This window comes from Homo sapiens, chromosome 5 (genome assembly GCF_000001405.40).
Source record: "Homo sapiens chromosome 5, GRCh38.p14 Primary Assembly".
Lineage (NCBI taxonomy): Eukaryota > Metazoa > Chordata > Mammalia > Primates > Hominidae > Homo > Homo sapiens.
Window position 1 is genome coordinate 38,692,605 of NC_000005.10, and position 27,896 is coordinate 38,720,500.

Below are 27,896 nucleotides of genomic sequence, written 5' to 3' on the forward strand. Positions count from 1 at the left end.
TCTACTCTAATCCCTTTTGGAAGCATTGTCGTCACAGTGTGGTCAAGATTTCTTCCATCTCATTCCCCTATGTGCTTCAGATGCCACGTCGGTTTCCTCTAAGAGGCCAAGCATACCTGCTTATATTTTGAGCTGTTAATAGCTCCCCATTTTTGTCTCTCACCCCCATCCCAACAGCTTCACCATCTTTTTAGATCTTGACTCTTTAAAAATTTTTATCGTCCATCCATTCCTGTGTTGTCTCCCCAAAACAAGGATGGGAAACAGGTTTCTCTTCTCTGATTAAAACACTCTGTTCCAGATAAAGCCCTGGCAACAGCATTCCCATCTTCTTCACCAGGATGCAAGTGTTATCATTGCCTTTAATCACATTTGTTTTATTGCATTCATAAAGCAATAAAACGTCTCAATCCACACACTATGCAAACAGTTGGCTGCAGCCAGCTATAACTTACGAAGATAAAAACTTGTTCCAGAGCTATTGGATGAGGCCAGTTTGGGCTGCAGAGGACATTTCTCCTGCAGTTTTCTTTTTGTCTCACCTTCTTCCAAAGTGTTCCTCTCTCGCCTTGGCTTTTTCCAAGTTTGCTTTTGCATCGTGCTTCCTGTTCATTTGGATTTTAATTGGGCCTTGCTTTCCGTTTCATTCTCCTTAAATTTGCTTCTGCCTTGCACATCTCAGACTGTGCTGGGGTTACTTGGCTCAGGTCTCTTGCTGCATATTCACTGTAGATTTGGTGTGGTCCATTCATTGCCATTGTGTCTGCAGAGGGAGGACAGCATGCAGATTAAGTGTCCTGGTTCAGGCATCAGCCTACATTGGGATGTTCTGCCCCTTTCTAGTTGTGTCATCACAGGCCAGTCATTTAACATCTCTGAGACCCAATTTCCTTATCTGTAAAGCAGGTATAATAGTGGTATTTAGTGCATAATGAACATTAATGGTAGCTGTCATTAGTATCAACTTTTCAGACTCCAGCTAGGCTTATGGAACATGGATCTTTCCTCTCGTATTTGTGTAACTATATAAGCCTTTATTCATTCCCTCTCCTGCCATTTTTTAAACAGGCATGTGTGTGTGTGTGTGTGTGTGTGTGTATGTGTGTGTCTATGGGGGTAGAGGGTGTCTCTGGCAATGCAAAAAAAGAGTGGATTGCATATCTATTCCTGCCTTGAGTATTTGAGCCATAGATCCAGGGGTTTGTGAAGTTTGGGGGCATATCCATAAGCTCTAAAATCACCCAGGAAGGCTTTGGAAGTTGTGATTGGTTGGCGAGATCCCCTGAAAGTGTGCAGGGCTACCTTAGTAGCCATGAGCAGAACTGGGGGTGAGGATCTAGCACTCTCTGCCCTCTGTGAGATGTCATCCATCCTCCAGGGATAAACAGAGTTCTAACTTCCAGGGGAACCCCAGAATCCATTCGAGGATTCAGGGCTGGGTCCAGAATCAGCCCAAAGCTGGAACAACAAGCATCCTCAGCCAATTTCCAAAGACTGGGACTCTGGGTCTTCAATTAGGAAGGGAGAAAGAACAATTCAGAGGATTGAGTGACCAGAGCACAGTAACTGTGTGACTCCAGGCAAGTCGCTTTCCCTCTCTGAACCTTGGGTTTCCCAATCTACGAAGGAGAGGGCTGGATCTGTGAGATGACTGAATTAGTTGACTGTTAAGGTCTCTTTCTTACATGATGAGCATTTTGTGATTTTATAAAGCAATTCTTTCTCAGCCAGACCACAATCTTTTACTGGTTTTGTGACTTCAGAGATCCATCACCTGCCTCCAGGAGGTCATTGTAAAATGAGTCCATTACTACCTGCTCAGCAATGGTGTGAAAATCAAATGAGACCACGGGTGGTGAAGTTCCTTGAAAATTATGTGAAATACAAATTAAGGGATTGTAGTCAGCATTTAACATCTTGCATATTATAGTCACTTATTACACATTTTTTCAAATTGACCTTAGACAAGAAGCAAACAAAAATTAAGAGAGCAGAATGGCATGTGAACTTATCTAGTAGGTAATAATGGTAGCCCAGCTGGGTTAGCAATAGGGGAAACTCAAAGCCATCATTTCCCAAGCCCATGGACTTTTCACGTGATCTGCTCTAAATGACACATTTTCCTTAATGTGCATTTCATGTGGAGCTGGGTGACGAGTTGGTCCAAACCACAGGCCTGGGCTCTGGAGACAGGTGAGGGAGGGAAATCTGTGTCTACTAAAGGCAGTAATTCCCTCAAGCTGGCCTTGAGCTTGGGGACAAGGATCAAAATTGGTGCCAGCCAGAGCCAGGTCTTAGCTAAATCTAAATAAGAGACATTAAATATCTGCCTTGGAAAAAATTCTTGAGACTAGAAACTTAAGAGAAGTAATCCCTGGTTTCACCCCGAGTCTGAGGGTAAGCCTGGTCTAGATTGTTGCTACTGATTTACACAGGTGACCTCTCCAGCCCCAACCTACCATGTGCAGAGGCTTCCAGCCTTGCTGCTACTCACTTCAAGCCCTGCTTAACTCTATTGACTTAAATGAATTTGTGAGCCTCTGAATGGGAGCAGTATCCCTTTTTTAGTAATACATAAATAAATAAAATAAACAGGTCCTACTGGCTTAGAGGAATCCCTGTGAGCTTCCAGGAACCAATGTTCCCTGACTTCATTTCATTTTCAGGAGGGAGGCCTAGCCTACGTGAAATAGAGGTGACTTGTTTGGACAGCATCTGGTTTGTGTAAAATTAGTAGGAGTGGGCCCACTGGGTCAGCAAGGGCTACTGAGAAACTGTCTGTGGCCAAGGAGGAAAAATAACACCACCACTTCTATATTAAAGGGAGAGAAAGTACGGGCTCCAAGTGAGAAATGTAGAGTCAGCATTATTGAATCCCCACATATTTTTATAGGGGGGTTGAAAGCAAAAAATTTACCAAAAACTCCCCACAGGCCCAAACAAAGCCACAGTGTGTTCCCATTTACTGCCAGCCTGATAATCACACCCTTCACATCTTTTACAGTTAGGCTGTGAACTCAGTGAGTGTAAGGCGCTTCCTATAAACAAAGGCTAGCAGAGATCGCATTACCTTCTTCCTCCTCTTTCCCCATCTGCAGAATGAAGGGGTCAAGCAATGGCTTAACCTTTTGTGTTCATTAACGTTTTGGCTCCCTGTTGCAAACTAAGAGCCAGAGATAAACGATAAATGAACTGGTAATTAGAAGTCAGGAAAGGAAGCTTCCAAGCAGGCTGTGGGCGGCTCTGTGTCAGACCCACTCATCCCCAAAGCTGGATCTGTAAACTGAAGCTGGGGTTGCTATCACCTCCGAGACAGCAAGGCTTGACTCTCCATAGAACCCAACGCTGCTCTGCCCACTGAGCCCAAAGCAAGGGGGCAATGATTTCTGGAAGATGGTGTTTGGTGTGTAAGATGGTAGAAACTCAGAATTCTAACTCAGAGTTAACTGTGAAAAAAGCATCTCATGCCACTCAGGACCCTTCCCTCCTCGCCTGACCTTCGCTCGAGAGCAAACCCTCTTACTTCATTCTCTTTCCTGTTTATTTTATGAACCTTCCTCCTACTCCTCAAAGTTCAGCTCAATTTCCCGTGGTCTCCCCCACTTTTTCATTATCCAGTGTTCTCACTCACCTCTGAACTTGAAACCCTGAGTGACTTGGCTCTTGCTTGAGATCATCTTAGTGTTTCTGGGGGTCTTGTTTATTACCTACATTTTACCATAAGGGAAAACCATTTGTTTCCAAATTCCCTGCCCTCCTTTTCCGCCCCACCTGCCAAGGTCCATGAAAACAGCTACTTAACTGAATGTCTCAATATATCTGCCTTAGCCCATAGGATATTTAACATTTGAAAAACAGCTGAGTATCTTCTCAACAAAATGTTAGCTTTCCACATTCTCTCCTTCTCTCAAGGACAAGCATGGGTTCTGTTGCATCCATGAATTTCTCTGCCACTATCAAAACGGCACCTATCTCTCACTTTTCTGTCCACATTATTCTTTGCCTCTTTGATGCATCTTGTCTCATAGGTTCTAGCAGACGTTGGGATCCTAAGAGGTCTTCTAGCCACCTCTCCAGCAACTCCACAGAAGCTGGCCATCTGGCTGCTGCTTTGCTATTTGTGACTCCATAAGATATAGAATTATGTTGTGATAATACTGTTTTCTGTGTGTATATAAATTTTGGGTTTTTAGAAAACTGTGTGGCTAGGGTTGTCAGTTTACATCACGCATAAGGATCACCAGGACAGTCATTAAAATATATAGATTCCTACCATCACTCACAGAAATGTTCCTTCCTTGGAGTCAGGCCTAAGAACCTGGATTGGAGGACTGCATTTTGAAAAAGTTACTCTCAAGATATTTATGTAGACAGGTCTTAAACAATTTCTGTGTCATCCATGGTGGTTGACAGGGCTGAGCTTGGGGAAGATGGCTGTCTTACAAAGACTCATCAGATCACTGATTAAAATAAAGTAGGATCCTCCACTAAGCTGGTCTTCTGGGCCAACTTATCTTCTACTGCAGAGTTCCAAACATTCACCTGGAATCCAAACATTCAATGACCTCTACAAAGCACATCAGGAAAATCCCTTAAATTCCAAGCTAATTGACAGAGATTCCAGGGATAGTTAGCAAATACTTTTCTCTCCTCTATTGAGAAATAACAAGAACAATAGTTTGGCTTTCAGCCTACCCAGCAAATATCACTCCACCAAGGTTCCCTGCAACTTTTCAGCCTCTTAATACAACATTTAGGGGAATAGAGTTTCTCTAGAACAAAATTCAAAGCATAAAAGAGAAAATTTTATGTTACTTGGAGGCAGACCATTCAGATGTTTTGAGTTGATTTGGCATAGCTGAAAGAATTTTCACACTTGCAAAAATATCAAAGTTCATTTTTGGCCTCCAAAGAGCTGAAATATAGCTCTGTTTTCAAACTCTAATGAATTTGGCATGAACACCATTACTTGTAATTATTGTGTTTTTGGAAGACTAAAAAAATGAAGTTTGATCTAATGTAATAGCAGATTTCAGAATGCTGGAATTAAAACAGTGCTAGACATTACCTAGTCCAGTTCTAACTTTTAAAGTCGAGGAAGATAACCCTTTGTCTTATATTTCTAATTAACAAAATAATAATGAAAACCACAGTTCCCAAGGGCTACTTTACTCCAGGTATGAGATTTAAGCAAAATACAAATGAATTAGACATAGGACAACATAATTTAAAGAACCTTTAGCACAGTCAGATATTCTATGAATGCAAGATGATAGAGAATATAATAGAACAGAAAGAATGTTAGATTGGGAGACAGAAGGCATGGGTTCAATGTCCTGTCTTGGCCTTGTAGAAATGTCAAGATACTGGGCATGTCATGACTCAGCTTCAGCGTCTTCTGCAAAATTGAGGTGATAATGTGGGCTGTTTTAAGAATGAAGTTGAACGATGTATGTGAAAGTACATATTGTCCTAGTCTGTTTTCTGTTGCTACAATAGAATACCTGAGACTGGGTAATTTATAAAGAAAAGGTCTTTATTTCGCTCATAGCTCTGGAGGCTGGGAAGTTCAAGATTGGGCAGCCATATTTGGTGGCTACTGGTGAGAGCTTTGTGCTATATCAAAAACATGGCAGAGAAATAGAAAGGGAACTGGGTGCATATGAAAAAAGGGCAAAACACAAGAACCAACCTCACTTTGTAACAACCTACTCTTGAGGGAACTCATCCACTTGTACAAGAGCTAACACATTCCCAGGAGAACTAATCCAGCCTGGAGAGAAAGACATTAATTCATCTTAATGACCTAATCATCTTTCAAAGGCGTGACATCCTAACATCACCACATTAGGGTTCAGGCTTCAATACAAGTTTTGGTGGGGACAAACCATATTCAAACCATAAGAATAATAAACTCTCAAATTCTATTATCTCATTGATAAAACAACATGCATGGGGATTACATTCAGTTTGTCTGCTTAGAGTTAAATCTTCGTATCTCCTTGCTTTAGTTTCTTCTGCCTAAATACCAGTCTGAATCTTTTTTGATCCTGCTTTTTTTATGGCTTTTTTATCTTCTTTGGTCCCACCCTGCCCAAAAGAGCATTCCTTGGTCAAGTGATGCCCATATCCAATCTGGATTCAGAAGAGGAGAAGCACAACCCTGCCTCTTCCCATTCTGTCTCCCAGCATCTACATGGTTCTCCAACTCATAGCACTTCCCTGGGTGTTTATCAAACTGTATTGAAGGAAATAGAATAGAATAAAAAGAAACTGAATTGAATTCCTGAAAGTGAATTCGACTCTTCCCTTCCTGAACTCTGGGCTGCCTTAAGGGAAGACCAACTAAGAGGGTCTCATCTGAGTTTTACCCATTGCTGAAGTAAATTGGGAAACAAATTTTCTTTTTGAAAAGAAAACTGAACTTTTCTCAGGTCTACTGTCTATGTTGCCCAGCAGAAAATGGTTCTCTTTCTTCTAGGAGGAAGTGCATAGGTCTTCCACTTGGGTAATGGTACTGATTTGCCACAATTTTTTTTTTTTTGCAAACTCTCATTATGGGCAAAAAAAATCTTTATTATTATTATTTTACTCTGGTGGCTCTGAGGTTTTTCTAACAACCATGATGAGGAGGCTCTTAGAAAAAGAAGACAGCAACTTGGAGTAATTGTTTTTCTGGTTTGCTTTTGTTGTCTAGTCTAGAAACTGTGGCTCTTGTCACATTCCTATCTGCTAGTCTGGGTCAACGCTCCCCAAAAGGAGGCTCTGATTTAAGCATTACCACAGTACAAACAGAGCTCAGCCAAACCTCCAGTGGCAGGTATAAAACATTGACTATGTCTGAGTCAAAAATGTTGCAAAATGTATATATGCCACAAAGATGTATCAGCTTTTCCAACTGGTCTGGGTTTATGGCAACAAGGGCTGGGTATCAGATTGTGATCTCTCCTTTGAGATCTCAAGTCTTGACCTGTGGGTTGAACTCTTCCACCTTTTGGCATACATGGAATATTCTGAAATGTTATAGGATGTCCTACATGCTGGCAATTCTCATAGCCTCCTTAAGATAAAGTCTTCCCACCGAGCTAGCTGCAGGAGTTTTTTTTGTTTGTTTTTTTTTGTTTGTTTGTTTGTTTGTTTTTGTACCCCAGTGGCACCTGGAACACCATCAAAACAGAACTGCTTACTCCTCTGGGAAGGGGGCTGAAGCCAGGGAGCCAAGTGGTCTTGCTCAGCAGATCCCACCCCCATGGAGCCCAACAAACTAAGATCAACTGGCTTGAAATTCTCGCTGCCAGCACAGCAGTCTGAAGTTGACCTGGGATCCTCAAGCTTGGTGGGGGTAGGGGGGCATCTGCCATTACAGAGGCTTGAGTAGGCAGTTTTCCCCTCACAGTGTAAACAAAGCTGCTGGGAAGTTCAAACTGGGTACGGAACCCACCGTAGTGCTGCAAAGCCACTCTAGTCAGATTGCCTCTCTAGATTCCTTCTCTCTGGGCAGGGCATCTCTGAAAGAAAGGCAGCAGCCCCAGTCAGGGGCTTATAGATAAAACTCCCATCTCCCTGGGACAGAGCACCTAAAGGAAGGAGTGGCTGTAGGTGCAGCTTCAGCAGACTTAAATGTTCCTGCCTGCTGGCTCTGAAGAGAGCAGCGGATCTCCCAGCACAGTGCTCAAGCTCTGCTAAGGGACAGACTGCCTTCTCAAGTGGTCCCTGAACCCCGTGCCACCTGTCTGGGAGACACCTCCCAGCAGGCGTCGACAGACACCTCATACAGGAGAGCTCCAGCTGGCATCTGGTGGGTGCCCCTCTGGGATGAAGCTCCCAGAGGAAGAAGCAGGCAGCAGTCTTTGCTGTTCTGCAGCCTCTGCTGGTGTAGCCAGGCAAACAGGGTCTGGAGTGGACCTCCCGCAAACTCCAGTAGACCTGCAGCAGAGGGGCCTGACTGTTAGAAGGAAAACAAACAGAAAGCAATAGCATCAACATCAACAAAAAGGATGCCCTGACACAGAAACCCCATCCAAAGGTCTCCAACATCAAAGACTAAATATAGGTAAATCCAAAAGTTGAGGAAAACCAGCTCAAAAAGGCTGAAAATTCCAAAAACCAGAATGCCTCTTCTCCTCCAAAGGATCACAACTCCTCGCCAGCAAGGGAACAAAACTGGACGGAGAATGAGTTTGACAAATTGACAAAAGTAGGCTTCAGAAGGTAAGTAATAAGAAACTCCTCCAAGCTAAAGGAGCATGTTCTAACCCAATGCAAGGAAGCTAAGAACCTTGATAAAAGGTTACAGGAACTGCTAACCAGAATTACCAGTTTAGAGAAGAAAATAAATGACCTGATGGAGCTGAAAAACACAGCACAAGAACTTTTTGAAGCATACACAAGTATCAATAGCCAAATCGATCAAGCAGAAGAAAGGATATCAGAGATTGAAGATCAACTTAATGAAATCAAGCATGAAGACAAGATTAGAGAAAAAAGAATGCAAAGGAACAAACAAAGCCTCCAAGAAACATGGGACTATGTGAAAAGACCAAATCTACGTCTGATTGGTGTACCTGAAAGTGACGGGGAGAATGGAACCAAGTTGGAAAACACACTTCAGGATATTATCCAGGAGAAATTCCCCAATATCACAAGATAGGCCAACATTCAAATTCAGGAAATACAGAGAACACTAGAAAGATACTCCTCGAGAAGAGCAACTTCAAGACACATAATCATCAGATTCACCAAGGTTGAAATGAAGGAAAAAATGTTAAGGGTAGCCAGGTAGAAAAGTTGGGTTACCCACAAAGCGAAGCCCATCAGACTAACAGCAGATCGCTCTGCAGAAACCCTACAAGCCAGAAGAGAGTGGGGGCCAATATACAACATTCTTAAAGGAAAGAATTTTCAACCCAGAATTTCATATCCAGCCAAACTAAGCTTCATAAGTGAAGGAGAAATAAAATCCTTTACAGAAAAGTAAATGCGGAGAGATTTTGTCACCACCAGGCCTGCCTTACAAGAGCTCCTGAAGGAAGTACTTAAGGAAAAACCGGTTCCAGCCACCGCAAAAACATACCAAATTGTAAAGACCATCGACACTGTGAAGAAACTGCATCAATGAATGGGCAAAATAACCAGCTAGCATCAAAATAACAGAATCAGATTCACACATAACAATATTAACCTTAAATGTAAATGGGCTAAATGCCCCAATTAAAAGACACAGACTGGCAAATTGAATAAAGAGTCAAGACCCATTGGTGTGCTGTATCTAGGAGACCCATCTCACATGCAAAGACACACATAGGCTCAAAATAAAGGGATGGAGGAATATTTACCAAGCAAATGGAAAGCAAAACAAAAGCAGGGGCTGCAATCCTAGTCTCTGATAAAACAGAGTTAAAACCAACACAGATCAAAAAAGACAAGGAAGGGCATTACATAATGGTAAAGGGATCAATGTAACAAGAAGTGCTAATTATCATAAATACATATGCACCCAATACAGGAGCACCCAGATTCATAAAGCAAGTTCTTAGAGACCTACAAAGAGACTTAGACTCCCACACAATACTAGTGGGAGTCTTTAACACCCACTGTCAATATTAGACAGATCAACGAGATAGAAAATTAACAAGGATATTCAGGACTTAAACTCAGCACTGGACCAAATGGACCTAACAGACATTTACAGAACTCTCCAACCCAAATCAACAGAATATACATTCTTGTCAGCACCACATAGCACTTATTCTAAATTTGACCACATTATTGGAAATAAAACACCCCTCAGCAAATGCAAAAGAATGGAAATCATTAACAAACAGTCTGTCAGACCACAGTGCAATCAAATTAGAACCAGGATTAAGAAACTCACTTGGCTGGGTTCAGTGGCTCACGCCTGTAATCCCAGCACTTTGGGAGAGCTGAGGCGGGTAGACCACGAAGTCAGGAGATCAAGACCATGCTGGCTAACATGGTGAAACTCTGTCTCTACTAAAAATACAAAAGTTAGCTGGGCATGGTGGTACACGCCTGTAGTCCCAGCTACTTGGGAGGCTGAGGCAGGAAAATCACTTGAACCCAGGAGGTGGAGGTTGCAGTGAGCCAAAATCATGCCACTGCAGTCCAGCCTGGTGACAGAGCAAGATTGTCAAAAAACAAAAAAAGAAAACAAAAAAAAAACCTCATTCAAAACCACACAACTACATGAAAACTGAACAACCTGCTCCTGAATGACCACTGGGTAAATAACTAAATTAAGGCAGAAATAAATAAGTTCTTTGAAGAATAAAGACACAACGTACCAGAATCTCTGGGACACAGCTAAAGCAGTGTTTAGAGAGAAATTTATAGCACTAAATACCCACATAAGAAAGCAGAAAAGATCTAAAATTAACACCCTAACAACACAATTAAAAGAACTAGAGAAGCAAGAGCAAACAAATTCAAAAGCTAACAAAAGACAAGAAATAACTAAGATCAGAGCAGAACTGAAGGAGGTAGAGACATGAAAAACCCTTCAAAAAATCAATGAATCCAGAAGCTGGTTTTTCGAAAAGATTAACAAAATAGATAGACTGCTAGCCAGAGTAATAAAGAAGAAAAGAGAGAAGAATCAAATAGATGCAATAAAAAGTGATAAAGGGGATGTCACCACTGATCCCACAGAAATACAAACTACCATCAGAGAATACTACAAACACCTCTATGCAAATAAACTAGAAAATCTAGAAGAAATGGATAAATTCCTGGACAAATACATTCTCTCAAGACTAAACAAGGAAGAAGTCAATCCCTGAATAGAGCAATAACAAGTTCTGAAATTGAGGCAGTAGTTAATAGCCTACCAACCAAAAAAAGGCCAGGACCAGGCGGATTCACAGCCAAATTTTACCAGAGGTACAAAGAGGAGCTGGTACCATTCCTTCTGAAACTATTCCAAACAATAGAAAAAAAGGGGACTCTTCCCTAACTCATTTTATGAGGCCAGCATCATCCTGATAGCAAAACCTGGCAGAGACACAACAAAAAAAGAAAATTTCAGGCTAATATCCCTGATGAACATCAATGCGAAAATCGTCAATAAAATACTGGCAAACTGAATCCAGCAGCACACTGAAAAGCTTATCCACCACGATCACATCAGCTTCATCCCTGGGATGCAACGCTGGTTCAACATACAAAAATCAGTAAATGTAATCCATCACATAAACAGAACCAATGACAACGACCACACAATTATCTCAACAGATGCAGAAAAGGCCTTTGACAAAATTCGACACCCCTTGATGCTAAAAACACTCAATAAACTAGGTATGGATGGAACATATCTCAAAATAATAAGAGCTATTTATGACAAACCCACAGCCAATATCACACTGAATGGGCAAAAGCTGGAAGCATTCCCTTTGAAAACCAGCACAAGACAAGGATGCCCCCTCTCACCACTCCTTTTCAACATAGTATTGGAAGTTCTGGCCAGGGCAGTAAGTCAAGAGAAAGAAATAAAGGGTTTTCAAATAAGAAGAGAGGAAGTCAAATTGTTTCTCTTTGCAGATGACGTGATTGTGTATTTAGAAAACCCCGTTGTCTCAGCCACAAAACTCCTTAAGCTGATAAGCAACTTCAGCAAAGTCTCAGAAAACAAAATCAATGTGCAAAAATCACAAGCATTCCTATACACCAATAATAGACAGAGAGCCAAGTCATGAGTGAACTCCCACTCACAATTGCTACAAAGAGAATGAAATACCGAGGAATACAACTTATGAGGGATGTGAAGGACCTCTTCAAGGGGAACTGCAAACCACTGCTCAAGGAAATAAGAGAGGACACAAATGGAAAAACATTCCATGCTCATGGATAGGAAGAATCAATATCATGAAAATGGCCATACTACCCAAAGTAATTTATAGATTCAATGCTATTCCCAGCAAACTACCATTGACTTTTTTCACATAATTAGAAAATACTAGTTTAAATTTCATATGGAACCAAAAAAGACCCCATATAGCCAAGACAATCCTAAGCAAAAAGAACAAAGCTGGAGGCATCACGCTACCTGACTTCAAACTATACTACAAGGCTACAGTAACCAAAACAGCATGCTACTGGTACCAAAACGAGGCCTCAGAAATAATACCACACATCTACAACCATCTAATCTTTGACAAACCTGATAAAAACAAGCAATGGGGAAAGGATTCCCTAATTAATAAATTGCGTTGGGAAAACTGGCTAGCCATATGCAGAAAACTGAAACTGTAACCCTTCCTTACACCTTATACAAAAATTATCTCAAGGTGGATTAAAGACTTAAACATAAGACCTAAAACCATAAAAACCCTAGAAGAAAACCTAGGCAATACCATTCAGGACATAGGCATGGGCAAGGACTTCATGACTAAAACCCCAAAAGCAATTGCATCAAAAGCCAAAATTGACAAGTGGGATCTAATTGAACTAAAGAACTTCTGCACAGCAAAAGAAACTATCATCAGAGTGAACAGGCAACCTACAGAATGGGAGAAAATTTTTGCAATGTAGCCGTCTGACAAAGGGCTAATATCCAGAATCTACAAGGAACTTAAACAAATTTACAAGAACAAAACAAACAAGGTCATCAAAAAGTGGGCAAAGGATATGAACAGCACTTCTCAAAAGAAGACATTTATGTGGCCAACAAACATATGAAAAAAAGCTCATCATCACTGGTCATTAGAGAAATGCAAATCAAAACCACAATGAGATACCATCTCACACCAGTTAGAATGGCAATCATTAAAAAGTCAGGAAACAACAGATGCTGGCGAGGATGTGGAGAAATAGGAACGCTTTTACACTGTTGGTGGGAGTGTAAATTAGTTCAACCATTTTGAAAGACAATGTGGCGATTCCTTAAGGATCTAGCACCAGAAATACCATTTGACCCAGCAATCCCATTACTGGGTATATAGTCAAAGGATTATAAATCATTCTACTATAAAGACACATGCACACGTATGTTTATTGCAGCACTATTCACAGTAGCAAAGACTTGGAACCAATCCAAATGCCTATCAATGACAGACTGGATAAAGAAAATGTGGCACATATACACCATGGAATACTATGCAGCCATAAAAAGGATGAGTTCATGTCCTTTGCAGGGACATGGATGAAGCTGGAAACCATCATTCTCAGCAAACTATCACAGGAACAGAAAACCGAACACTGCATGTTCTCTCTCATAAGTGGGAGATGAACAATGAGAACATATGGACATAAGGAGGGGAACATCACAGACTGGGGCCTGTCGGGTTCGGGGGCAAGGGGAGGGATAGCATTAGGAGAAATACCTATTGTAGATGACGGGTTGATGGCTGCAGCAAACCACCATGGCACATGAATACCTATGTAAAAAACCTGCATATTTTGCACATGTACCCCAGAACTTAAAGTATATATATATATATATATATATATATATATATATATATATATATATATATATATTTAAAGTATATATATATATAATTAAAGTATATATATAATTAAAGTATATATATATAAAGTATATATAATTAAAGTATATATATGTATACACACACACACACACACACACACACACACACACATATGAAAAGACAAAGTCTTCCTTCTTTTCCTAAGGAGCAACCTCAACATTTTCACCTAAATTCCCTCCTTCTCCACCCACAACAGAACCAGGCCCCTTTAGGTATGAAAGACTAAGCCACTATCCGAAAACACATTAGCACATATTCTTATTTTATCCAAGAGACACTCAGGAGTCACTAAAAGAGAGGGGAATGACACCTGAAGAAGATATTTTGGGCTGTTCTGTGCAATGACTGGGCCCGTATTCATCTTCATAATCCAATGGATATTTGTACTAAATACTGTTTATAAAATACTTTTCACAGGCATGAGCTCATTTGAACATCACATGCTGTGATGTAAGGACATTGCTGTCCTCACGTTAGAGATGAGGTAACTGAGGCTCCAGGATGTGTCTTCAGATCCAGTGCTCCTTCCCTCCCCCTACCACCTCAATCCTCCAGCAATTATGGTAGAGTTCTACTGGAACAGGCAGCTGATCAACATATGTGGCCAGTTGATCACCTCTCAGCAACGCTGGGAAGGAAGGACACAAACCTGAGCCCTGTGTGTCAGGCAGCAGCCAGATATTTCCTGTACATTTTCTCCCCCAATTTCCCCAACTTACACTCCCTGGGTTCAGATCACAGCTCCAGCACTTGTTAGCGGTGTGGCCTTTTAGGCCAGTTTAACACTCCATCTGTGCCTCGGTTTCCTCAGGTATAAAATGAGAATAATGCTATGTCCTCTTTGTAGTGTGATGAGGTATAAATGAGCTAACCCACTAAAACATGTAACCCTGGGCTATAAGAACCCTTGCATATGAACTATTATTATCATTGCTATTTCCCCTTATTTTATATGTGGGGAAGAATGTTCATAAAGATTAAGGGGGAACGCTCCTGAGATTGGAATCTAAGTTTGACTCCAAAGACCTTACTTTTTTGCTGCCTTCAGGTACCTTTGCACTTTTCTACTCTCTGCTCTTTTTCCTCCTCCTTAACCCTTCTTGGTACAGGTAGCCCATTGCCCTTAAGCAGTGTTTTTGATCCTAGGCTGCCTGCATTAGAATTATCTGAAACCCACTCCCTATGGACCAAATCAGAATCTCTGGAGCTGAGGCCAAGGAATCTGCATTTTCATAAGCAACACAAATGATTCTCTTACACCCAGATAGAGGTCGAGAGGCACTGACTCAGACTGTCCACTGGAGCAGCTGTCCTTGCCTGGGCCTGCCCGGCCCCTCCCACCTCCCCTTTCACCCAAGAAGTGCCCCAAAATTTTCTTGCTGCAAACCCGCCGTCCCATGCACATCCCCTATCTGCTATTTCCTGATTAGGAATACAAGGCCGATGTCAGCTCACTGTGGGGCTCCTTATCTTTCCAATCCATTGTGAATAATGGCTTATTAAAGTAATGGCTTATTTGGCCTCAGCATCGGGCTGGCTCAAGTCAGAGCAGGGAAAGGGTGGGGGCAATGGGGGAGGAGAGGCAATGGATTGGGCAACATAATTCCATGCACGAAACCCACCACGTACAAAGATGCAACAGTTATTCATCTAGAAACTTGCAAACTGCAGCAGGGTCAAGCCTACAAAAATGAGATAACGCGGAGCAGAGCAGGTAAGCACAAAAGGGCAGAAACTAAGTCAGTATTTTTATTAGAGCTTTATCTTATCTCTCATGCACAGCAGATTCCTTCCAGAAAGGAGGCTTGTGTCAGTTACCATTTGCTTTCACTTAATCCAGCTTTGCAAATAGCAGTCAACCACTCTCACCTCCAATTCATGAGTCCACCAAAAAACTTTTGCTCAATGCTCTTTGAGGCTGCTATGACTGAATCTCAGAATGTGACCCCAAGGCAAACTACATTTCTGGCTTTCTTATCCTGATTTTTCTGTGGCCTAAATTTCTCCTTCAGTTGGACTTAATCTCTGGTTATGTAAACAGCTGGAGATATCATAATTCCTGAGGGGATATCAAAGAGCTGTAATGAGTGGGGAAAGGAGTTGTGGGGGTGGGGAAAAATAGAAGAAAACGAGCATTAATTATTAAATGCGTAGGAGATTTTAAAAATCACATACCATTTGGCACTTTTCCTCTCCACAGTGCTCTATCCCCATTAAATGGAAGGAGAGCCAGGCCTCTCATCATGGCAAATTTGCTTAATTATGTTTTCTGTCTCTCCTAAAGTGGGAAGGGCTTAAAAACTTGCTTCCTATGGTGGTCACCTTTGCTCTGAATGAGAATGCATTTGCCCTACCTAGAACATTGAGGCCATCTCATACTTTACAAACTGGATTTGGAACCACTTAACAAAAGGCAATATGCAAACACATGTGAATAAGATGAAATCAGCTAAGAAGTCCAGAATCCTGGGTATGATTTTATAATAGGACAGATACACCACTCTTGGCTTTATTTTGCTTGCTGGAGGAGAAGTTCAGGGACTGGATGTCAAAGGAGAGATAGGGTGATAGAAATATAGAAGTTCATGAAGTGCCTCACCCTCCACAAGAGAGTGGGTCTGGATTTACCCACCTTCCATATCATTGAATTTCTGGAGTAGGGTTGATGTTACCATTACAACTTGTTATCACTCAGTGATTCAGGTAATGGGTGTTCTGATTGGAGGCTTGGAAATCCAGTCACTACAATCATAGGTGCTGCCTTCTTGCCACTCACATCCCAAGTAGGAATAGCCCAGGTGAGTTATGCCCCACACCCTCTCCTAGAAGCTGGGGGTTCACCCAATGTCAGAGGCCAAATCATCCTCAGATACCATCTGGTTGAACTTCCTAATTTTACAGATGCCAGTAGTCCAGTGTCACGATAATACAGTGAGTTGGTGGCTACATAGAAATAAGGATTTGGGTCCTGTGAATTTTGGTCCAGGAACTACCATTTTGCTCTTTAATAGTGTTTAAAGGACACAGAGGCATATTTTCTAAAGTCTGTATAGTGTGTGTTTGTGTGTGTGTGTGACAGTCTCACTCTTTTACCCAGGCTGGAGTGCAATGGCAAGATCTCAGCTCACTGCAACCTCTGCCTCCTGGGTTCAAGCGATTCTCATGCCTCAGCCTCCCAAGCAGGTGGGATTATAGGCACCCACCACCACCCCTGGCTAATTTTTGTATTTTTAGTAGAGATAGGGTTTCACTATGTTGGTCAGGCTGGTCTTGAACTCCTGACCTCAAGTAATCCACCGGCCTCGGCCTCCCAAAGTGCTGGGATTACAGGCATAAGCCACCGTGCCTGGCCAAAGTCTTTATAATCTTAAAAAGGAGAGAGAGGAAAGAGATAAGTGTAAGAAGGAAGGCATAGCTAATTAATTGGAGGGGGATGGTCTAAGTTCAAGCTTTGAAATGAAACATAGCTGGATCAGCCACTTAGTTGATGTGTGAACTTGGACATACACCTAAAGTTACTGAGTCTTAGCCCGCATCTTTTAAACTGAGATGGTAATAGTGCCTACTGCACAGGGTTAGGTAAGGATTAAAGAAGATAATGCACAGATCCTGGCACTGACAAAATGCTTAATAAATATTGGCTATTATTATAACTCCAGTGCAGACACCCAAGGACTTGGATAGACTGCCAAGAAATCAGTCCTGAGGGGGCCTGTCCTTCAGCCAAACTTCCTCCCTTCCAGCTCCTCTCTTCCAGCCTGGGCTGCTATGCTGCCCACATCCTCCACTCTACTCCTCCAAATAAGTGGCAATCATGACATTTTTAGTATCCAGCTTCACACACAGATCTTTCCAGCAGAGTAACAGGGTATTGACTAAAAATAAAGATGTAAAAGGACCAGGGATAAAGGGAATTGGTAAGGAAATGAGAAAAGAGAAAGGAAGGAGAGCTATGAAGAGATTCCTTCCATCTTTGATCACAGTGCTGGATCATGTATAGGGAATGTGAAGTACAATCAGTATACCATTTCTCCACGGAAGTTACACTGCTAGCAAAATGAATGCTCATCACTTTTCTCCTACCCTGCCTAAATAATTGAATACTGTGGATTACTGTGCAAGTTTCTCCATGCCCTAAAACCATGAAAACCGTGTCCTATAAAAAGCTGGTTTCAGTGGCATTCTAGTCACTGACTCTCTGCTCAGGACTGTACGAAGATAATATTTATCAAGATGACTGACTCAACAATGGTCAAATAATATTCAATATAGTTTTAATGAGAAAAACATGTGATCATATTCTGAGTCGGAAAGTCAGCACCACATCTTTAGCACATATTAACCAGAACATCTTATTTCCTGGCTGTATCAGAACAGACAACTTGCTCTCTCTTCAGTCGGAGCTGCAGTTTTCCTTTTACATCTCCATTTGTCTTCTTGTGGAATATGGGCCTGAAAGGACAACAGGGTCACTTTTTCCTAAGACAGTATATGTTTTGCAGAGTGTATCTCTGATGCTGGCACCACCCAGCAGCTGGAGACCTAGGTGCCGGGAGTCTGAAGTTCTAACGTTGCATTTCAAACCCCAAAGTTCAGTGGATCTTCATCTTAGTTGCAGAGAAGTCATTATCTTCATTTTTTTTTTTTCTGGATGCAATAGTTGCCCCCTGCCAGACATGAGAACAAACAGAATGTGTTCTGTCTTTTCCAAGATTGCTTCATCAGCATGTATTTTCCACTAAAGCTTTTCAGTATTTGACTTACACATTTATGAACACCCCCAAATGGACTGTTAGGGTTTGGTTTAATCCCCAAGAAAAGTGGCATTAAAATAGATCTTTTCCCAGCAATAATAATCTAATTTATGATAAAGTATTCTATTCTCAGTACCTTTGAGACACATGAGAGCTTTTATGTAATAAAAAAGCCATTTATTTCTGAATATTTTAATGCATGTTTCCATATTTTTCTCATTTTTAATGCAAGGGCCGTTGACAGTATTGTAAGAGAATGTCTTTTAAAAGCAACTTTACGGCAAATGTTCCAGTGAAATGGATGGCAGCGTGCATCGTTGCAGAGCTGTATTGCTGAATGGAGCAGGGCAGAGATGTTTTAATTCACATTTATGTGCATAAAAGGGTAACCTCTACAGAGAGAGACAATGTTATTCAGTAAATTGATAAGATATAGTAGACTTGGCTTCAGTTTGGGGCTCCATCCTTTGATTTGCTGTACTTACTTAGTTATTGCTGTGTCTCCTCTGCCATGTCTGAAATACAGAAGGAACACATGCTGGAGAAGGCTATGACAACTATTGGGGAAAAGAAAGTAAGTCAGAACCTTAGGTGTGAACTGGAAAGACAGGCTATTTTAAAAGGACAGAGAATCAAGGAGCAAACAGAGCGTCTTTGGACAGAAATTAGACTATCTATATACATATATACGTGTGTGTGTGTGTGTGTGTGTAGTGTGTGTGTGTGTGTGTGTGTGTATATATATATACACACTCACTGCAGCCTGGACCTCCCAGGCTCTAGCAATCCTCCTGCCTCCTGCTCCCAAGTAGCTGGGACTACAAGTGTGCTCCACCTCTTAGAGACAGGGTCTCACTATGTTGCCCAGGCTGATCGGGAACTCCTGAGCTCAAGCAATCCTCCCACGCTGGCCCCTCAAAGTGCTGGGACTACAGGTGTGAGCCACTGGGCCCAGCCTATTTTGATTTTTTAAGCTTTCATTTCCAGAGCTGTTCATTTGGATGGATGCCCACCATCTAAAAAGCTACTAGGATAATGGTTGTTGACTGGGAAGGTAGAAGCAGGGTCTGGAAGTGGGAACAGTGTCTGAATCAAAATACACACATCCCTGGTTCTGTGATTTTAAAGCCATCTTGAGAAATCTCAGAAGTGTAATTCTGATACTCTCCCTGATCAAGAGCCACTGCAGTAGTATGAGTATGAGATTTAACCTCAATCATATGTGCTTACAAGAGATACGAAAATGCATATTTGACATGAACAGAACCACACTTCTGAGATAAGAAGCCAACTTTTCACGGATGTCTTACTGATGCTTTTTGATAAAATGCTCCGTGCTTTTTTTTTTTTTTTGAGATGGGGTCTCACTCTGTTGCCAAGGCTGGAGAGCAGTGGCACAATCATGGTTCACTGCAGCCTCAACTTCCCTGGACTCAGGTGATCCTCCCGCCTCAGTCTCCCAAGTAGCTGGGACTACAGGCACACACCACCACACCCAAATAATATTTGTATTTTTTGTAGAGACAGAGTCTCGCCATGTTGCTTGGGCTGGTCTCAAACTCCTGGGCTCAAGTGATCTGCCTGCCTTGGCCTCCCAAAGTCCTAGGATTATAGGCATGAGCTACTGCACCCAGCCACTCTGTGGTTTTAATGGACATTGATAACAGCCCTCTGTAAGACAAAATCATGATCCAAAGTCAGACACTGGATACCTCATAAAAGGGCTGGGTGAAGAGTCTGCAGAGCAGGGATCTCGTTTTAGTTCTGGACAGATGAGCTATTCTGGCCTTGTGGATGTTGCCTAAGCCACTCTAAATATGGTATCTAGGTCTCTCAGCTTCCCTCAAGCAGATAGAAAAGGGTGAACAAAAATATCAAGAGAAGAGGGAAAGGATAAGTTAGTATCGGGATGATGTAGGGAGAATAAAAGCTAGAAGGAAGTAGTAACACTGGCATTGCCGCCTGCTCAGGGCCAGGCACTGTGTTGAGTACTCACACCATTAGAATGGAGACTTCTAACAGGGAATACAATGGAGATAAAGGAAAGAAGACTTGGAGAAAAGCCAGAATTAAAAGGGAATCCATTTTACACTTTCTAACCTCAAGATTTCAAAAACTAAAAACTGAACAGGTGTTTTATGACTAGTGAAAGCTAGTACTCACTGTGCCCTTAACTGTACTGTGTTTTACATGCATCAGCTCACTGGATCCTATGAAAAGCCATATTAGGCAGGCATTATTATTATACTGTGGTGCTGACATAGAAACCAAGCCTTGGAGAGTTTAGATAACCTGCTAAATGTTCACTCCTGTTGGGTGATGGTGCTGGGACTTGAAGCTGAGGAGTTCAGGTCTGTTGTGTGGACTCTGCTCTGCTAGTAGCTGAAGGTTACTGGTGTGGACTCTGCTACTGGGCTGCTCAAAATGCTTCAAGGGTTCTGATCTTAGAAAGTCTCTTGGAGGTTTGGGGAGAAGATAAGAGGTTGGGCTGGCTCCCAACCAAAAGCCTTGGAGACACTTTCAAGATAGTCTGGGAGCTGGGACCACAAACAAGGTAGATGAAAACAGGTAGCTGGGGGCTGAGGATGCACAGCTGGGTGACGGGGTAAGAAATCCTGCTACATTATAGCTACTGGGAGCATGGCCTTGGGAGGTCGACTTCCTGGGTTTGAATCTCACCTTAACCACTTCCTAATGGTGAATTCATGGACACAGATATGAAATGGGCTAATACTAGTAGCTGCCTCAAAGGGCTGTGCGAATTAAATGAGATATATAGAAAGTGCTTAGTAAGTATACATAGTGAGCCCAGCAATAAATATTTGCTGTTATTTCAGTAAACGAGTTTTTGGATGAAGCTCTCAAGTCTTTCTGTCACCCTCATTGCTGCCTGCTTCCTACAAGTATGGTGAATTGGCATGTTTGGAGTGTGTGATATGTGGACCCACTCGTGAGCAAGCCAGCTTTGCCCTGTGGGAGAAGGAATACATGTCAAAGGAATAATGCTGGCCGGGCATGGTGGCTCACGCCTGTAATCCCAGCACTTTGGAAGGCCAAGGTGGGCGGATCACAAGGTCAGGAGATCGAGACCATCCTGGCTAACACGGTGAAACCCCGTCTCTACTAAAAAAAAAAATACAAAAAATTAGCTGGGTGTGGCGGCGGGCACCTGTAATCCCAGCTACTCGGGAGGCTGAGGCAGGAGAATGGCGTGAACCCAGGAGGCAGAGCTTGCAGTGAGCCAAGACTGTGCCACTGCACTCCAGCCTGAGCAACAGAGAGAGACTCCATCTCAAAAAAAAAAAAAAAGGAATAATGCTATGACTTGTGACTTCTTCCTTGGGACGTGAGGGGGTGTTGAGATAATTCACAGCTACTAAGCATCTCCTGAATGCTTGCCAACACAAAATGTTGGGGTCAGCTTGACCTCCCTTTGCCCATGGTGAAGAAAGAGCACCTTTCTTGAGAGGAGGACTCTCCCCCAGGACACCACCCTGTGGGCATGGCATGAATGGTCTGGTATGGCAGGATGGACCAGCAGTGTACCTAAGAATGCCTGTCCCAGGTGGGCTGGCTGGAACAGTACAAAGGGTAGAGGCAGGATTGGAGAGCCTCTGCTCATCATGGCCAAAGAGTGGGCTGTCCGCTGCAGGTCGCAGAGGAAGAGCACAGGGAGCTTCTTTGGCCTCCTAAATAGAAACTGCTTCTACTTGCAATTAATTCATCCTCACTGCTCAGTCTTTGGAATGGACGTTTAGAAGCCAGAGATACTTGAGGGTGATTTTCCCAGACTTGGTGCATCTCCTAGGAGGTGATCCTGGTTGGAGGTCAGGCCAAAACGACTACTGGGAAGTGAATTCTATCATGACCAGTGGGAGCCAAGGAAGCACTTCAGAATGAGAGCACTCTGTTGTTTTGTGGCATGAGGGAACAGTCAAGTAGGGTTGATTTGGGGCTGGAATTAAAGAGAAAGGAGGTTTGGGACCAGACCTTGTAAGATGGTCTCCCTTTTTTCCTGTTTCTCAATCATAGATTACATGTTACAAACAGCCTGGACTCTGAGACTTGGAGCAGAGAAAAGCAGGTCCCTGGATATTCCTGGCAAGAATTATAATAACTCACAGAGGAAGAGATTTTGTATCACAACAGGGAGTCTCAAATTAGTCAAAGACTTGGAATGGTTTTCTGATAAATGAAATGTAATCAATTATGGTGACTTCTTTTGGGAATTTTATTGACTTCTTCCTTCCTCCTTGTTTACTTTGGATTGCCACTTGGGTCAAGTGTGAAGTTGTTGATCTTACCCCATCAGCCTGGAATATGTGTGAGCACATCCATGGCCATGACACAGAACACAAATGGCCTGATATAAAATGTGGTGCTAAGTATACCAAATAGCCAAAGAGGTACAAACTGACAGTCATCTTGAGCTAATAGGAAGTGATATTTTATTTTTTATTTTATTTTATTTTATTTTTTATTTTATTTATTTTTTTTTGGAAGTGATATTTTAAGTGACGGTTTGAAAAAGAATATGGCAGCACTAAATGTTGAAGCAACCACAACTCTCCTTTATGGCTGGTGGGAATGTAAATAAATGAGAGCACTTTAGAAAACTGTTTGGCCATTTCTCCTAAGGTTGAACATGTGAATGCCTTATGTTCCAGCAATTCCAGTCCTATGGCGTGTATCTGACAGAAATATATACACGTGCACAAGAGAGATGTACAAGAATGTTCATAGCTACACTATTCAAAAAAGCCAGTATATAGACACCTGTTTTGCACAGCTTCAAAATCATCCTGTCCTGATTTTTGCAGGCGTTTGTTTCTTGCAAGTGTAGTCAGTGATGCCTTGCCTGGGGCCTGCACCATACTGATTTCCTGCAGTGCAGCTTCTTTGACTTGGGATTTTCCAGGGCAACTCATGTATGTGCAATCTAGAACAAGAGAATTTTGCTGGTGGCATCATCCTTGACCAATGGGGGGCAGGAGCAGATGGACAATGGACAAATGTTTCCATTGTCCATGTTTCCATGGTAACATGGCTGGTGGTAACATGGCTGGTGTAAATGATCCTATGGCTGATTTCAAGCTACCATTTAACACGTGGCCCACAGCATTTCTGAATACTTTATCATTGGCTCTTGTGAGCCAGTATGATCTGGCTCAGCACACCACCTGCTCTAACCAATAGCTGCCATGTGAGAAAGTGGTTCCAGTGTGTCCTCATCTTGGATTTTTTTTCAAGGGGAGCCAGAAATCTGGATTTGCATGTGAAAACTCCTGATTTTTAAATTGTATCAGCTAGTTCAAATTTTTCAAAATCACTTGACAAACCAAGAAAAAAAAAACCCAACTACATCTGCAAACTAGATTTAGCCTATAAAATGCCAGTTGTTTTTTTTTTTTTTACCTTTGATGTACAGACTAAACCTTTTGAAGAGGGTCTGTCAGCCTCAGTGACGAAGCACAGTTTTTTGCGTAGACAGAGTTCAGGACTTAATCTGCATGGCCATATGGTGTGATGAACTCAGTCTTAACTGGGGATTGAGTGACTTGGGTTCTAGTTTCAGTTTTCTATGAAAATTACTTTACTTACCTGGGCCTCAGTTTCCCCATATGCATTAAGATACCTTCTGAAGAAGTTCTTCTCATATCAGAACACCTAGGATTGTATATTGAGCATAAAAGTACGTTAGGTGCTTCTTTGGGACTAGACAAACTCCTCAGCGGGGCAGGGAGAATTGAGGGATGCTGGTTGTGGGACAGAGATTCCAGGCTTGTAGGCTGCAGCTGTCTCTCCTTCCACTCCCTTCACTCATAAAAGAGAAGCTGTGGCTTTCCCCAAGCCATCGTTCTAACAATATCCATTTGCCTGCTGGGGAAGTCCAGGCCTGATGCTTTGCGGTCCTCAGGCTTCTTGAGAAAAAGTCCACTTTCTTAAAATAAAGCATGATGTGGCAGGGAGACTTCAGCCCTGGCGTTTGTTACCCTGGGCTTATGATGTGGCTCTGCCACTTCTTAACTAGGAACTTCATCTTCACTTTTGTCATAGGACTTCCTGCCTCATGGGAATTGTGACAAGAAGCATCCACTGTTTCAAGTGTCTAACATGGCCTCTGGCATATAGTGTGAAATGAACACTAATTACTACCATCCTTGTGATTTATTAAGGCATTCACCTGTTGAGAAGTGCTGGGTAGCCAGCAGCCCAAATATTCATTAAAATTTGATCTTATGTCTCCTTGTGTTTAATTTGGTTTAGTTTACTCTGTTATTTTAGAGATTCTGCCAGCATTAATATTTCTGCAAGATCCAGACAGGTCTGGACACAGAAATTTTGATCTAATCCAAATTTGTGGGCTCAGGAATGCTTCTAGCGAGAGATGCTACTATATATTCTGCTGAAGAAGATTCACATACCAGGAAGAAGAAGATTTCAACTTTGATTATTTGAAGAGGCAACGAAGTAGTCTAATCTGTGCTATTAATTTGTTTAAAGATAACATGTGCAAGTTCCCTAAAGACAGCATAAGTAACTATATATTAGAGTCTGAGACAAAGGGAAAAAGTCAGTAATACTGATCTTGTCTTTATTTAAAATTTTGATATTTTGTTCATTCATCATGGATTTTTGCATTAATTTTGATTTATAAAATGTTGCATTTAACTCGTTTTTTTTTCTTTTTTCTTTTTTCTTTTTTTTTTTTGAGACAGAGTCTCACTCTATCCCCTAGGCTGGAGTGCAGTGGTGCAATCTTGGCTCACTGCAACCTCCGCTTCCTGGGTTCAAGTGATTCTCATGCTTCAGCCTTCTGAGTAGCTGAGATTACAGACATGCACCCACCATGCATAGCTGATTTTTGTATTTTTAGTAGAGACGGGGTTTCCCATGTTGGCTGGGCGGGTCTTGAACTCCTGACCTCAGGTGATCCGCCCGCCTCGGCCTCCCAAAGTGCTGGGATTACAGGCGTGAGCCACCACATCCGGCCCCTAATTCTCATTTTAATCTTAATGTGCTAAGCAGCTTGATATATGACTAGGCTTCTCTGGGATTGTGTTTCTTTGATTTTAAAATAAAATATAAGTACATTTATACTTTTTGCAAAAGCATTTTTGAATACCTAAATCCTTTCTAAAATTATTACATGAAAATTTCATTTTAATTACTGAAGTTTGGGTGTTTTTTGTTTTGTTTTGTTTTGTTTTTGCATCGCCTATAAGTACAAAGACAATTAGTAAGAGTTTTTGGTTGCAAACAACAGAATTCACTGTAGCTACTTCAATTGTAGTCACTGAACTGTATTGGTTTTTACACAGAGTTGGACAATCAGGCTTGGAGGCTACTGAGCTGGGTAGAATACCTCAATTATTGCTCCAGGAGAGTCTCTGCTGTTACAGCACAGCAGGGGAACTACCACTGGAACCACCACAACCTTTGTCTCTGCAAACTAAGTGTCTCTCTGTCACCCTCATCAGAATTCCTCCACTCCGCACTCTTTCTTCCACAAGGCTCTCCTACAATCAAAGTCTGGCATGGTCTATCTGAGGAGGCCAGGGCCATGCTTGTGTCCAGCTATAGACAACTTAGGAAAGTGAGTTTCTGGTTTCTTCCTGGAGAAGTGGGATTCATAAATCTGGAAATCTTCAAACCAGGGAAGGGTACTGAGAAAGTGCTGGCAGCTGGATGACTAGGGTTCATATGAGTACATTTTTTTCTGGATAACTTTGCAGGGTCCCACATATAATTGTGCAAGTGGTACAATATATACAGGCCCCATTGTAGTGGGGTGGTTTCTGCCAGCTCAGGCAGCATCATGGGCATGTGTGCAAATATGAGGACAAGGGACTAAATGTACACGTGGAGAATCATTCTCCTCTTCCCTGAAATCACATTCATACTTCAAGCCACCCCTTTCCCCTGCCCCTCCTGGGAGAAAGTTGGAAGCAAAAGTGTTTGTGAAGATTCAGGCTGAGATACTTACTTCTGGTGTCCCCATCGCTCACTTGAACCCATAGATATCCCCCATTTCCTTACCGTAATCTGCTAATAACATGACTGTCCTGCCCCACGGGATGCTCTCTGGTCTCATTAAGTCTGAAAATGCTTGGGAAATGCATCTGCCAAGGACTACAGCCAACTGTCATTATTATCATCTGCTTACAGACACTCTCCCAGGCAGCAAAATATTTTCAAGCTCTAAAATCCCGGCCCTAGCCCGTCCCTTTATTTTCATCTTACCTAGCCTGCGTAGATTATCTGAAGGACACACAGACTCAAAATCAATGTCCCATCTGTCTCTTGTTTACAGCTTATCAGGTGTTGTGAAATGAAACAGTGAAATCCCTGGGAGCATTTCCTCTTCTGAACTGATTTAACTTTAGCTCTCTGAAGCTTTCTCCTCCTTTGGCTTCTGAGAATGGTGTGCTGGTCTGAGAAGCAAGAACTTTTCATTGGCATAGCTATTAATAGTGACTAATATGGACTTCTTGTGCCTTGCTCCAGTTTGAAATTTATAAGGATGGCTGCCTCATTGCGTGTGTGTGTGTGTGTGTGTCTGTGTGTGTGTGTTTGTGTGTAATTGCTTTGCTCCTTCTTTTGCATGTGAGTAGATCAATCTTAAGGATCAGGACTCATCTCTGTCTCCCCACAACAATGCCTCCAAAAGGGGGGGGGTTCATGACTGTTTCAAAAATAACTTATATTTTTTATGCATGAATCTTCTTTGCTCCTTCCTTCCTTCCTTCCTTCCTTCCTTCCTTCCTTCCTTCTTTCCTTCCTTCCTTTCTCTTCCCTCTCTCCAATCTGTTTCCTCTTTGTCTCCCTTTGCCTCATCCATGCCCCATTCTTTCTCTCCCAACTCCAGGATTGTGTGACTTTTTTCTCTGACCTTTTATCCTCACTGCTTCTTTGGCTATGATTTGAATCTGGGTCACTAGAATAAGCGTGTCCTTCCTTTCTCTGTAGACTATACAGGTTGACTGCTTTGTAGATTTTGGCATTTTGTAGGACATCATATGAATGCAATTTTTCTGGATAACTTAGCAGGGGCCCACATATAGTTGTGCAAATTGTACACTGCACACAGACCTCTACCGAGTGAGCGAATGGGGCAAAACTCTAACCCATGCTACTGTCCCCAAGCTGTGTATCCTGGGAAAGTGCTACATCCACTGAAGGAAAAGTCATGCTTTTGTAATTTGGTGACTAATGCTCAGTCCTAGCAACCAATTATGCACACACAAATAGGCACTGCATAATTGTTTACTACACCACATTCCCTCCAGTCATCTGAATTTACATACTCTCAAAACTCACATGGCTTCCAGCAGTGCACATCCCCACATTCCCTTCCAAGGCAAGTTGGTGTTTGAAAATCACACTGCCATGATTTCACCCCATCACATTTCATCCTATGTGAGTTGGTTTTTCTACAGAAACGATGTGACAAGCAGTGATTATATCCTAAGGGTGACATCACAATCACCTATTTAAGCTATTATACTGTTGAAAATTGTTTATTGCAAAGGAAAGAAATAAGAAAACCCTATTTTTCTATATTACTATTTAAACAATCATAAAAACAATAATCCTAAGTAAGATGTTATTTTGGAAAGATTACATAATTTGAAAG

The 27,896-nt window shown here is 42.0% G+C and overlaps 2 long non-coding RNA genes across 2 annotated transcripts in view; both read right to left on the bottom strand.

The window, feature by feature from the left end:
- Positions 1-608: 608 nt before the first annotated feature.
- OSMR-DT (OSMR divergent transcript) overlaps positions 609-27,896 on the bottom strand; it is a 152,617-nt gene continuing 125,329 nt past the window's right edge. Inside the window, exon 4 of the long non-coding RNA NR_109951.1 lies at positions 609-895. This is a non-coding gene — a long non-coding RNA (OSMR divergent transcript). The remainder of the gene's footprint in view (positions 896-27,896) is intronic.
- LINC01265 (long intergenic non-protein coding RNA 1265) lies at positions 17,763-27,669 on the bottom strand. Its single transcript, NR_104631.1, has 5 exons — positions 27,581-27,669; positions 23,861-23,926; positions 23,036-23,198; positions 18,745-18,816; positions 17,763-18,172 (listed from the first exon to the last, which is right to left on the bottom strand). It is a non-coding gene; the product is annotated as a long intergenic non-protein coding RNA 1265 (long non-coding RNA).